Here is a 12,930-nt window from a genome sequence, read left to right as displayed (position 1 = left end):
TATCTGTGGGTTTCATACCCACAGATTGAATCAACCATGAATCAAAAATATTCAAAATGCATAAAAAGCAATGCAACAATAAAAATAATGTATATAAAAACAATACAGTATAACAACTATTTGTATAGCATTTATATTGTATTAGAAACTATAAGTAATCTAGAGATTATTTAAGGTGTATGAGAGGATGTACATAGATTATGTGCCATTTTATAACAGGGATTTGAGCACCCTTAAGTTTTGGTATTCTTAGGTGTTCTGGAACCAATCTCCCATGGATATTGAGGGATGATTGTATTTATTATAAGTTTTAAGTGACATTGGAGCCTTTGTAAGGAAAGACCAAAAGAAACAGTCAAACCTGCATATTTTTATGCTATGTTTGATGTAAAATGCAGAGTCACGGAGAAATATGATAAAATGGAATATGATCTAGTGGGAGTAAACTGAGGGAAACATATCAGAGTCTGCTGACTCAGATGCTTCTCTATGCCCTTGAGTCTTCAAAGACAAAAATGCTCATTTCTCTGGATATAGGGAGAGCACCTCTCACATGAAGCTTTTATAACCTATTTTAAGAGAACGCTAGAAAACCCTTCCCAGCTTTTATGAACTGCTTCAGGAAGGAAGGGCAGTGGGAAGGTTAGAGAGACATCTCCTCCTTTGCATAAATTCCTTCAGCTTAAAATATTTTGAGGTCATGTATCCTAAACTCCCTCTGTTATATTCATGCCTGTTATTCATACAAAGGTAGGGAAGGGCTCTATTATATTTACCTATGTAATTGTAAAACCTCTCTATGTCTGCCATTAGTGTTTAATAATATTTCATGAATTGATCAGAGCATTAATTACGGCTAATGTACGCATTTTACATTGAATCTCCCTGTGAATAGTCTACTTTCTTCTGTATCCACATTGAGGGGCAGGCTCAGGGTTTAGTTTCCAGCATCCGCAAAAGAAGACCTAGAAGTAATGACACACTGCACAATCATTGCATTAAATCCCCATTGTAGGCATTTGGTTCCTATTTCAACAATTATTTTCCACTCTTCATTCTCTTTCATCCTCTATATTATTCTCTCCCAAAGCCTCTCTAATCCCTCATATTGTGTTAAGTAATCTGGCTCTGCTTTTGTTCATACCTATCTCAGGCGGCAGAGCAAAGACTTCAGAAGATGAATCTTTTAAAAGCAGTTATTAAAATAGTCTTGTTAGAGTATGTAGCTAGGTTGATATGATCAGAGCAGGAGAGGGCTTCACTCCAAGAATATCAGGCAACCATCAGGTGATGGTCAGGCAGTTGTTAAACTGTCTCTCTAAGATAATAATTAGTTGCAGCCAGTACCAGGAAAAGTCAGTCTCCCAGCAGATAGAAAACACCTGAAGCTGGTAACGAGCAGTTTCCCAATAAGATCTCAGGAGTTGGGCGGGTGAGTTTAAGCATGCGCACTAAGAGAGGCAAAATGGCAGTTAAACTGGTTTCCGACTTTCCTCTGGAACGCTCGACTGCTTAAGAGAAAAATGCCTCAAATGAGCATGTGCACAACTCCAGCAAACACGCTGGACATGCGGCCTCTCCCAAGTGCTGGCAGGCCACTGCACATGTGGACCCACGGGAAGAATCAGGAGAGAAGAAATGCAAACCCCAGAGTCATGCCAAGGTATGAAAAACCCTAAGTCCAGGGTTGGGAGAGGCATTTGGATCTTTCAAGTCGGCTGTTTGGCCCTCTTCCAAGTGTACTTTCTTCGTTTTGTTCCTGCTCTAAAACTTTTTAGCAAACGTTCACCCCTGTTCTAAAACTTGCTTAGGTCTCTACATCTGCCCCATGCTCCTCAGTCAAATTCTTTCTTCTAAAGAGGCAAGGATTGAGTTGATGTAGTAGACTCGTGTGGATTTGCTGCTGATATTAGTAATAGTCTGGTAAGAGTGGGTAAATTTTGTTGTCCAGTCCCATTTAAGTATTAACGTAGCAAAATGAGTCTTCTGGGGAAAGGGATTAGGGAAATTATGCCACAAAGAAAAAAATAATTTTTTTTCATTTATATAAATTCTTATTATTTAAGATAGACAAGCAGTTCACCATTACAGTGATTTCTATGGGAAACCATTTGTGTAATGAAGAATTCCTTTCTAGCACAAATAATCACCATTTATTTATTCTTACTAACATTTGGATTTTTATATATTGGATTTGCTTAAGAGAATAATTTTTAGTCTCCTGTTTCAAATTTCATTGTGGCTGCAGTGAAGTCTAGGAAATGACTCCCTAGAGATGTCTCTTTGAAGCATTTACCTTTCATTAATTTAATGGTTCAAAAACTATGAGTGCCTACTAAGTTTCCTCCCAAATAATTGCAGTTTACTGAATGAACAAATGGAAGAAATAATGAATGAAAGTGGGGATAAAGCCTGTTTTCCTTAAAGCTTCTTGAGTTGATTTCAATTATTGTATAAAGTTTACAAACCATTGTCTTTGAAAGAAAGTGTTTTACATTTCTGAGGATAATATTAAGCCAAATTAGGTGTTTAATAGCAAATACAATTTGCTACATTTTCAGGATATTAGTAGGCATAGTTATTTTAAGTGGAACATAATTGGCATGTGGATGCAGGCCTTCCTCTTCTACTCTCGATGTTTTTGTTCCCTTTTTTCCCCCTTTTATGTTTCTTTGAAGTACCTTCAAGTGCAATTTAAAGAGGGGGGTTCTCTGGAGCTCTCCTTGTTTTTTGTTAAGTAACTCAGTAAGTCCTTGACCTCTTTGTTTCTGAACTTTATCGCCAATAAAACTCAATCATTTGCCTAACATCATACTGCAAACAATTAGACTATGTGAGTTTGAGGTTACAAAATAACAGTAGCAGTACTGAAAGAATTTGCAACCACCCAATTTACACGTGGAAATTTTCATCTGCAGCTCAAGGCTGCCTACACTGTAATCGCTCAATGGCAGCTGTTTAAAGTCAATGAAAAGCAGCATGGTTTTTTTCCCTCCTTTTTGTGTGACTCCCCTCCCCCATATTTCTCACAAAGATTTAAATTGATTTTTCCCACAGATTTCTTTGTTTTTATGCGTGTTTGTCTGGCTTTCTATTTTTTTAATTTTGTGATAATCATTTCATGTAATGTGTTGTGACATAATGGATAACTCTTCAATTGAATGCCATTTGAAATATTTTAAATAGTTTATCAAAAGATCAGAGCACCCACATTCTTTTTCTTTTTTTTTTTGAGAATACTAGCCAATCCTCTTCTTATATACTGATTTATATATCATTTATGTAAAAATAATACAAATTTATACTAGATTGAGAAAATCAAATGCTAGTTATAGAAAAATTGTTAACATTTGTAGTGATGGGGCAAAAATTATATTTAATGTTTATGCTTCAGCACAACAGAGAATCCCTGAAGACTTGCTACAACAATAGTTTTCAGCCTTTTTGAATCGTGTCTCCAGGTTTAAGATTTCAGTCCTTTAGGGAAAAGAGTAAGACTTTCGTGGGGCACTTTGTAAAGTTTAAGTAAGAAAAAACAATACTCTTAAACTAGAGCAATAAGCAGAGTTTAAAACACTGAAAATTAGAAAACAATTGTAGGTATCCTTCTTCATCATGGGTATGGTGTTACATTGGATTTTTATCTTACTTTTTCTAGTAGCTTTCTTTTGGCCATCTCAGCAACAGTAACATTTTTATAGTTTTCGTGAATATTTTCTCTGTTTGTGGATGAGCAGAATATTCGTAGGTGGTCCAGCTTGGAGCAAGTGTATGTCAACAGGTTTTTTAGGTTGTCTGTAAGCTGTGGGTGGCAGGGCCATTCTTCTATCATGTGTTGCTCTCCAGCATCTCCGACTACACTTGGCACACCACCAGAAACCAACGTACACAGTTTTTTGGATCAAATGTATATACTTGACTATATTTGTGTACTTGCCCTTGGCCACACAGGAAGAAACTGATAATTTTTGACAACTCTATTGTAAATCTGAATCATAAGCCTAAGGAAGAAATAAAACAAAATTATGTTTGTTTCTCATCTCCAAAATTTACTACTTCTATAAAATTGCCCCAGTTATTTCATCCCCCAAAATCACCATTTTATCATCTGTCAAAAAGGTAAAATAATAATCATGTTTTACAGTATTTTAAGAATAGAGAAATGATATTGAAAAACAGCACATGGTAGGTAATCAATATAATTGCAGTTGTTTTCTATGTCATTCTTGTGGGGCACTGAAATTCTCATCAAGGTAGAACTACTTACTGTAGTTCAATCAATTATTATTGAATGCACATGTGAATCAATGACGAGTCAAAGAAATTAGAAAGAAGTAGAAATGGTAATTGGCACTGTGGTGGGCTATACAAATTCGGTTTCTCAAGTAGAATAGCACTTTGTTCCTCGTTGTTGCAATATGTGTTGTACCACTGAAACCCTATAGCATATGGAAGCAACTGATAGACCCAAGCGGTTTAAAGGCAAAGCAGTAAATAGCACAAATGGGGACCAGTTCACACACAAGAAAAGAATTAAAGAAACATAACATCCTAATCTCTTCTGCTCATTCCACTGTGAGAGAATTGAGGCCAGCCCAGCATTGATTTAGAAATACAAAAAAATGGTGTTTTCCTTTTGGATTTAGGTTTGAGGAGTCTATCATAGTACAGGCATTGAAAGCCTAAAGAAGGCAGATGAGTAAGAAAAAAATAGAACAAACAGACATTTTTGCAAGTGTAGAGTTACAAAATTATAGGATAGGCGTCAGGCAAAGTGCCAGCTCTCTATGTGGTAGATGTAGTTTGCTATCAAAATTATTACCTGTAAAGTGAAATCAGCACAAGCAGGTTCAGGTTAGGTGGGGAGAGTCTGAGGAATTTGGCACAATTGTGTACAATATTTTCATTTTTTTTAATAAGAGAATGTCTTACTCTTTCAATTGCCATTTTGCCATGTAGTCCAATATATGAAATAGATAAAAGTAAAAGTACTTTGGATTAAGGCACTATAGAGATGTTGAAATGATGATCTTCTAATTTTTCTTCTCCATTTATCAGCACTTGTTGTCATAGAACTTTGCAATGTCCTCCCACCTTAGATGGTGTGACCTGCAGCAACCTTTTGTATGTCAGTCAGTCATATGATTTGTATTGACCAACTGGATGATAGCAGATGATTGAAATGGGCTTATGCAGTGAAGCTTGGTGTTCTGCCTACACTTACGTCATCACAGCAGGATATATCTGAAGTAGCTTGCTAAATACTAGAGGAGGATGAGGAATATACAAAAAAGTAGAGACAAGGCCAGCTCAGATCAGTCAACAACCAGTAATTCTGGACACACATGAACTGGCACAGCACTAATGAATAGATCTACCTAACTGACTATAACTGACTCCAGACACATGTGCAATAAACAATATTTTATGCCACTGAGTTTTATGGCTGGTTTTTATGCAATGTTATTGTAGCAACAAATAACTGATAGACAAGCCTCAAGTGCTACACATTCATTCCCCCAGTAGGCCTGTGGGCCTCCTGAAAGAACCACTAGAGCCTTAGAAAGCATAATTTGGAAATTACTAGCCTAGAATAAGCTCATGTGTGTGGTCTAGATTTTCATATACCAACAGTGGAAGAGCATGTGGGTTAGTTATGAGATGATACATCCAGTTTTGATCAAATGTAATAAAATAGTTCATAGCTCAGTGGTACTTCAGAGGTCCTATAGGTCATCTTTTATTTAAGCCTTATCTAGAAGTGATAAAACATAGGCTCAGCAAAGTTACAACTTACATGAATTGAGGTTTCTAGAAACAAAAAGTATTCTTTAAAAAAAAATTCTGGCAAAACATAGATTTCAATATTTAAAGTTAAGTTTTGAAAAAATAATAAAATATTGTCACTTAAGTATTTTCTAATAATCTCACAATATGTAGTAAACTGTTATGTCTGTATTTCCCACTTTCAAGTAAAAATATAAACAGGAATGGGTTCATACTTTCATTATTTTATTCTACTATCACTCGAGTTTTATTATTTATGGCTGAATTGAAGCATTAATATGCTAATTCTTTACTCAAACTTTAATAAATAGGTTTTCAGGAACTCTCTTGAATTCTTAAAGAAAGAAAGAGGAAAGAAACACAAAAAGTGGTTCAACAGTCAAAGACAGGTTTGTTTTGGAGAATAAACCTCAGAGGGGCTTCTGGCCGAGTTAGGTCAGAGGTACTCTGTGTTACAGACTAAGAGTTTTTAAGGGTTCAGGGCAGGGGGCTTATCACAGGATCAGAATGTTTGTGTCTCTTTGTCTTACTTATCTGGGAGGGAGAGTTTTGTGTCTCTTTCCATACATTTTCCTGCAGCTGCAGGCATATACCCCAAGTCTCCTTTTAGCTTCGCTATCTTACTGCACCTGAAGGGAAAGGAATGTGCTTATTAGGGCCCGCTGTTTTACTGGGGCCCATTGTATGAGTGTGAAGTTTGATGGTTACCCAAGAGACTTTCCCCCCTCCCTCTGTGCTGGAACTATCTTAACTGTTTTATTGTCTGTTTTTTTCTGGCTGTTTGTTGTTAGAAGAGAAGTGATTTCCTTGAAATGCATGAGATTAGAAAGGGAGCTGGAACCTTAAGTGGTGGTATTTGTCCAAGATGATGGTGCTTCTGCTCTGTCAAGCCCATTCTACTGATTGAGGAATAGTCATATTTTAAAACTGTGCTTATATACTTATATGTTTAGAGATATATATATATATATATATATATATCTCTAAACATATATATCTAAACATATATGAGAAAGCTAACATATAATTAAGTATAGTATATATTTGCATATGTGTATATGTGTTTGTGTGTGTATTTAATATTTACTGTGTTGAAAATGAGGAAAGACTTGGTATTTTGTATGATTTAAAGATGCTTTTCATTACAGGATATTTGAGGTGTTGCTTTTCGGGTTGGAAAACCTCTGTGGCCAGTGGCACCATTGCCGAGTTTTTCTCAGGCTCACTCAGCCTGAACAGGCTGTGCACAGCTTGTGCTACCAGCCTGGATCCCATGCCTCCAAGGGAGAGCAGAGCAGTGAAGCGTGTGTGTTAGTGAGTGAGTGTGGGGTCCAACCACTGTGTACAGCCAGGAACACTGGCTGTCGTAGGGCAGGCAGCTCCAAGTGCCAGCAGGGACGCCAGCACCCTGTGAGTCTTTGGCTGCACCAGGCGTACCACAAGCAGCTTCCATGGCTGGCATTGGGTAATGAGGTGGCACCTGGAAGCTTGGAGATGCCAGGAACCACAGAGCCCCAAAGAGGGTATCACAGCCCTAGCTTGTGGAGCTCCTAGGTCTGGGCTCCCCAGAGGGCCACAGCTCTTCCCTCCTTCTCTCTTCTCTCCTTCTTGTCACCCACAACATGGCGAGCATGGGGCATATTTCAGCCTTGTTTGTATTATGGCTGTTTCAGCCTTGCCATTCGGCGGGTCCCGAGTTATTTTCCTGTGTCCAGGAAGAATGAGGTGAGTGGACAAGTGGAGGGTGAGCAAGGTGAAGAGGAGCTTTACTGAGCAATAGAACAGCTCAGAGGAGACCTGCAGATGGCAGCTCCTCTCCGTGGCCAGGGTGTCCTGATGGGTGTTCAGCTCTCAGCATAGAAGAGACCCTGGGGTGAGTTGGTCCTCTTTGCAGCTGTTCAATCCATCATCTCAGCTCTCAGCAGAGAGGGGACCCTGTGGAGGGGGACTCCTCTCCATAGACAGGTTGTCCCATTGCTTCCTCAAGTTTGGCTGAGTCCAGGGTTTTTATAGGCTTTAGAGGGGAGAAAGCTCATGCTGATTAGTCCATGGGTGGCTACGGGTAGGCCCAGAAAAAGCACCATAGGTTTCCACTTTAGTCCATGGGGGCTGGAAGCCTGGCCCCAGGCAGGCTTCAGGCCTTCTCTGGGCCTGAGTGGGGCTTTACTGGGGACCCACTCCTTCTGTCCAGGAGTCTGTCTGCATCTTGCCAGTGTTCATGGTGCCCAGGCTGTTCATGTCGAGGGCACCTGCAGGTCAGGGCTGAGCTGCCCTCAGCCCCCCTTAACCTCCCTTCCATGCTCATTGGTGGCCAAAGTCTGGAGGGGGCTGGGGAAGCAGAGGGGTGGCATGTTACTGCTGCCCCAGGTATGCACACACCCGGCCAGGTTGCAACGGTGCCTAGACTGGGCCCCAATTCTGCTCCAAGATTGGAGCAGGTGCCAAGAGTGGGGAGAGGCCAGGCAGTGGAAGCAGGCACCTCTGAGCCTGCATGCGGAGGGGGCCTTCCTGGGCCCCCAAGAGTGCAGAGATGCCTAGGTCCACAGCTGCAGCTGGATGGCTATAGCTGCACCCAGAAGGGTAGGTCTCCTGCCTGCTCCCAGCCCCCAAGATCACAGGGATGCCCCGGTCTGTAGCCATGACTGGGTAGCCACAGCTGTAGCTGGGGAGCAAGAGGCTCCCACCCTGCTAATTCAGAAGGGGTGTCATGGCAGCAGCCACTCTAGATGGGTCACACTGCCATCATTTTGATGGTGGAATACAACACAATTATACTGGGAGAGATGAAAGGCAGAACCCTTTGCTATTTATAGCTACAAAGGAGAGAAAGCTGTTATGCAGGGCTACAAAGGGAGTTGGGCGCACGGACAGGGACATTTATACATGCTGCAGCATATATATGGCAAGTAAGGTAGAGTAGCTAGGATTTGGGAGCTTTGTATGCATTTGAAGCTTTCAGCTGAGGTTCCAGAGCAGAAATAAGCCGTCTCTGTTTTATTCTGTCCAAATATCTGACCCATGGATTCTGTTAGCATAATAAATTAAAATTATTTTATGCCACTGAGTTTGGATTGGTTGTTACTCAACAATTGATAGTGGAACACCATTTACCTACAGTAGTTAACTCTAGGTAAAATTACTTTATTTCTTGCTTACATTCAGAAAATTTCAAATCCTGGATTAACTTCTTGGCTATGTATACAGAACACAGCTAATCCCCTCTTTTCTTTATTAGTCATGTAAGGGTGAGTTCTAGCCAAAAAGCACGTGCAAATAAGTGTGTGGTTTATCCAAAACAACTAAATGTAATTCATTATAGCTGGATCATAAAATTTGAGAAGAGAAGGAGCTAGAAATAAAGGTGGGAATGTAAGCACCCAATCATCAAAGTTCGTATTAGTCATATATGAAGTTTATGCTAAGGGTAAGAAAAAACTGCTTCTTGTATGCTGTTTCCTGATAGCATTTATATTTCAGAAATATCTGAACCAAAGTGGTTTCTATGTAAAAGATAGATTTCGGGGGTCACGTTTGGGGATGACATGGCCAATTAGAGTATTGAGGTGAAAGATGGGAACTCACCATAGCAGCAGTATATGTGGAAGAAACTTGAGAAAGCAGTGAATGTCTGTGAGGTAGAATCAACAGAATTTTGTGACTTATTAAATGTAGGCAGTTGATCCAGTTGGAAAATAACATAGGCAGTCCAGAGTGGAAGAAGAGGTAAAGCAACAAATAGTAAGTAGTGATATTGACATGTTGAGTTGGGTCGATAGATTACATTAGTGTCCTCAATTAATCCCTTTGGGCTTGGTGATGTGATTCATTTTGGGATAGTGGCAAAAGCGGAGGCTTGACAATGTATTTGTGCAATCTACTTCCTTTCTTGGATCCCCACTGCTACCATCGCAATAAACCTGGACTAGCCTGCTAGAGAGATTTGAGAGAAAAGCAGATCAACTTGACTTATTTCATGTGAGCCTATCCTAGTCCAGCCAGGCCCCATCCCGGCTCATATGCTGACACATGAGGAAGTCCACTTGTGATAAGGTGAGCCTGGTGTAAATCTGCATAATTGCCCGCACACTCATAAGTGTTTGCTTCAAACCACAAAGTCTTGGAGTGGTTTGTAACACTGCAATAGATCACTGATACACTTAGTTTGAAGGTTCTATTCTTGAGAGGTATAAGATCAGGGTTGGAACTCAGAAGAAGGATCTGGTTTGCAGACAAGGCTGCTTCTCAGTACTCAATAGCCTAGCCTTGCCTATTGTTTATGGTGAGTTTTCACTCTGAAGGGTTGGGCTTGCCTTCTCCTTAGTTGGTATGCATGCTTTTTGCAGTTCTGCCTGTAAATGTAGATTCCAGAATCATTTGTGTATAAATGGTTATGAAGCCGTGGGAGAGGGCAAGACTAACCACTAGAGTTAAAGGGGAAGATGGCTAATAGCAGAACTATTAGAAAAATAATAAGAAATGGGTAAATAAATGAAAGAATCCCAAAAATATTTGGGGAAGTTACACACAGCAAGGTGAGAAGAAACTATACCAAGAAAGTATACATTGAAACCAAGGTGAAAGAATTTTCAAAAAGGGAGATATGATACAGAACACTGCAAAAAAGTCAAAAGAATTTTGGTTGATGAACTAACATTGGATTCAGCAACACTGAGGTCATTAGTGTCTTTGAAGAGGGCAATTTCGTGTAGTGGTAAAATGATAGTACTGGGTCCATTATAGTTCTTGAGAAAATCATCAATAGTATTTCTTTTCTTTTCTTTCTTTTTTTTTTTAATTGAAAATACTTGCCTCTATGAGCAGGCTGAATTAATTACAAAGTTGTCTCCTGTGATCAGTCAGATGCTCTAAATGTGAATTAATTAGAAAAGAGTGAACTGATATATGAAAAAAAGAAAAATTAATATGCATGACAACATCTAGTGATGAAATGCATAGTAAATCTGGCCAAGTCAACCACATTAAAAATGCTTCATGTTTAGAATACAACCACATTCTCTCAACTCTGACCTGATTACAAGGGGATTTTGTTGTTGTGAAGAATAATGAATGCGCCATAGTTTAATAGCACTACGACACATTTGAGTTAAGTAGCTTCTCTGTTGTTACAGAGGGCAATAGCAACATTGCATACTCACCAATTATTCCCTCCAACCTTTCTTTTCTTTTAATTTGCTGCTGACTTAGGACAGTGAGGAAGAGTTTTTTGTAAAAGGAAGCAGTCATTAGACTATACAGTCACGCAGTTATAAGAATAGGTGATAACAAATGTTTATATTATGTTTTGCAGGTTAAAATAGTCTTTTTGCATAGTAGCAGATGAGCTATGTCCAGTCAGAGAAAATGTTTGTTCCACACGTTAAAATGACTAAAAATGAATTTTAAAACATATAAATAAAATAGTATTTTGGAGTACATTTTTGAATCCAATGGAAATTTTGAAATCACTTCATTATTTAAATCATTTTTAAAATGGTGCTTTAAAATTGACTCTATTTATTGAGAACCTACAATAAATAAAATATATGTGTTTTGCTGGAGACATGAAGTATCTATAAATAGCAGGCTCCTTGCATTCTAGACTATAGTGGTCTGTGAGCAAAATGGTCATATTAAAATATAAAGTATAGTAAAACAAATATTGTTGCATTGAAAATAAAATTCAATGAGAACACACATAACGTAAAGCTAATTCAATTCCATAAACATTTATCAAGTTTCATTCAAGTGTGGGACATTCTTTTACGCACTGTATTTCAAAAATGCATCTTACTGAATTTCTGTCTTCAGTGAACTTGAATTCCTCTATAGCAGTTAAATTTGTGGAATTCTCACAAGAAATTTTGTAACAGATTGGGTTGGCAGAATGAATAATTGTTCATAATATAAAATTTTAAAAGTAAACACATTTTAAAAGTAGATGTAAAACCACTCAAATCAAATAACTAGCCATCATCAGGACTTTTATATGATGCTTACTTTTTTGAACAGAAATCGTTTCACTTAATATAAACATGCAAGTAAAATTTTGTATTTTGAGATATTTACACTTAATATAATTTTTCTGTGGCATTGCCATTTCTTTAAAGCTTCAATGTTTTCTTGCTGTTTGTCTTAAATAACTGTGTAATAATTGATTATAAATTCCTCTTGTTATTTAGTTCATTTTTTTTTTCAATTTTGAGGAGCACACGTATATAGACAGAAAGTCTTGGTTGAGTGCGGTGGCTCATGCCTGTAATTCCAGCACTTTGGGAGGCTGAGGGAGGTGGATTGCTTGAGGTCAGGAGTTTAAGACCAGCCTGGCCAACATGGTGAAACCCTGTCTCTACTAAAAATACAAAAAATTAGCCGGCTGTGGTGGCACACACCTGTAAGCCTAGCTACTGAGGAGGCTGAGGCAGGAGAATCACATGAACTCGGGAGGCGGAGGTTGCCGTGAGCCAAGATAGCTCCACTGCACTGCAGCTGCAGCCTGGGAGACAGAGAAAGACTCCATCGCCAAAAAAAAAAAAAAAAAAAAAATGGCTTTTGCTCTGTGAAAAACACTGTTAAGAAAATGAAAAAACAAGTTACAAAACAGAAGAAACCATGTGAAAAATCTCATATCTCACAAGGACTTGTATATAGAACATAAGAACCCTGAAAACTCCACAGCAAGAAAATAAACCCACGAAAAATTGTGAAAAATTTGAGCAGACGCTTTACCAAAGACAATATACAAATGGCAAATAAGCAGTGAGACTGTTGGGATTTCCGAGTTCATCCTTTCTTTTCCTATAAAAATATAATAAAATATTTGTTTTTCAAAACTGTAGTCAAAAAGTAAAAGACTTGGAGTCTGCAGGTTTAACTATATTCCTGGCTCAGTTCTGTGTTAAAGTAGCCTTGGAAAAATTTTATTTCTGATAGTCCACTTTTTTTCAGTGTAAAATGATAAATCTCTATCATTGCTGTATGTGGTGTGTGTGTTAGAAAGAGGAAAAGAGAGAGATGGAGAGAGAGAAAATGGAGAGAGAGCAAGAGAGAGAAAGAGGAAGAGACAGACACAGAAGCAGAGAGAAAAGCTATATCAAAAATACCTTGTTCTTAAAACCTGAGAACTGGATATACTCCATAGGTGCC

General features: G+C 38.5%; 3 annotated features.

The window, feature by feature from the left end:
• Window positions 2,810-3,010: a silencer, noted in NCBI's record as "peak6377 fragment used in MPRA reporter construct". NCBI's record gives its function as "represses an SCP1 promoter by STARR-seq MPRAs in K562 erythroleukemia cells {active_cell/tissue: K562}" and the evidence as "EXISTENCE:reporter gene assay evidence [ECO:0000049][PMID:32103011]".
• Window positions 6,320-6,520: a silencer, noted in NCBI's record as "peak6376 fragment used in MPRA reporter construct". NCBI's record gives its function as "represses an SCP1 promoter by STARR-seq MPRAs in K562 erythroleukemia cells {active_cell/tissue: K562}" and the evidence as "EXISTENCE:reporter gene assay evidence [ECO:0000049][PMID:32103011]".
• Window positions 9,710-9,910: a silencer, noted in NCBI's record as "peak6375 fragment used in MPRA reporter construct". NCBI's record gives its function as "represses an SCP1 promoter by STARR-seq MPRAs in K562 erythroleukemia cells {active_cell/tissue: K562}" and the evidence as "EXISTENCE:reporter gene assay evidence [ECO:0000049][PMID:32103011]".

This window comes from Homo sapiens, chromosome 7 (assembly GCF_000001405.40).
Source record: "Homo sapiens chromosome 7, GRCh38.p14 Primary Assembly".
Lineage (NCBI taxonomy): Eukaryota > Metazoa > Chordata > Mammalia > Primates > Hominidae > Homo > Homo sapiens.
This window is presented reverse-complemented; position numbering and strand designations above follow the sequence as displayed.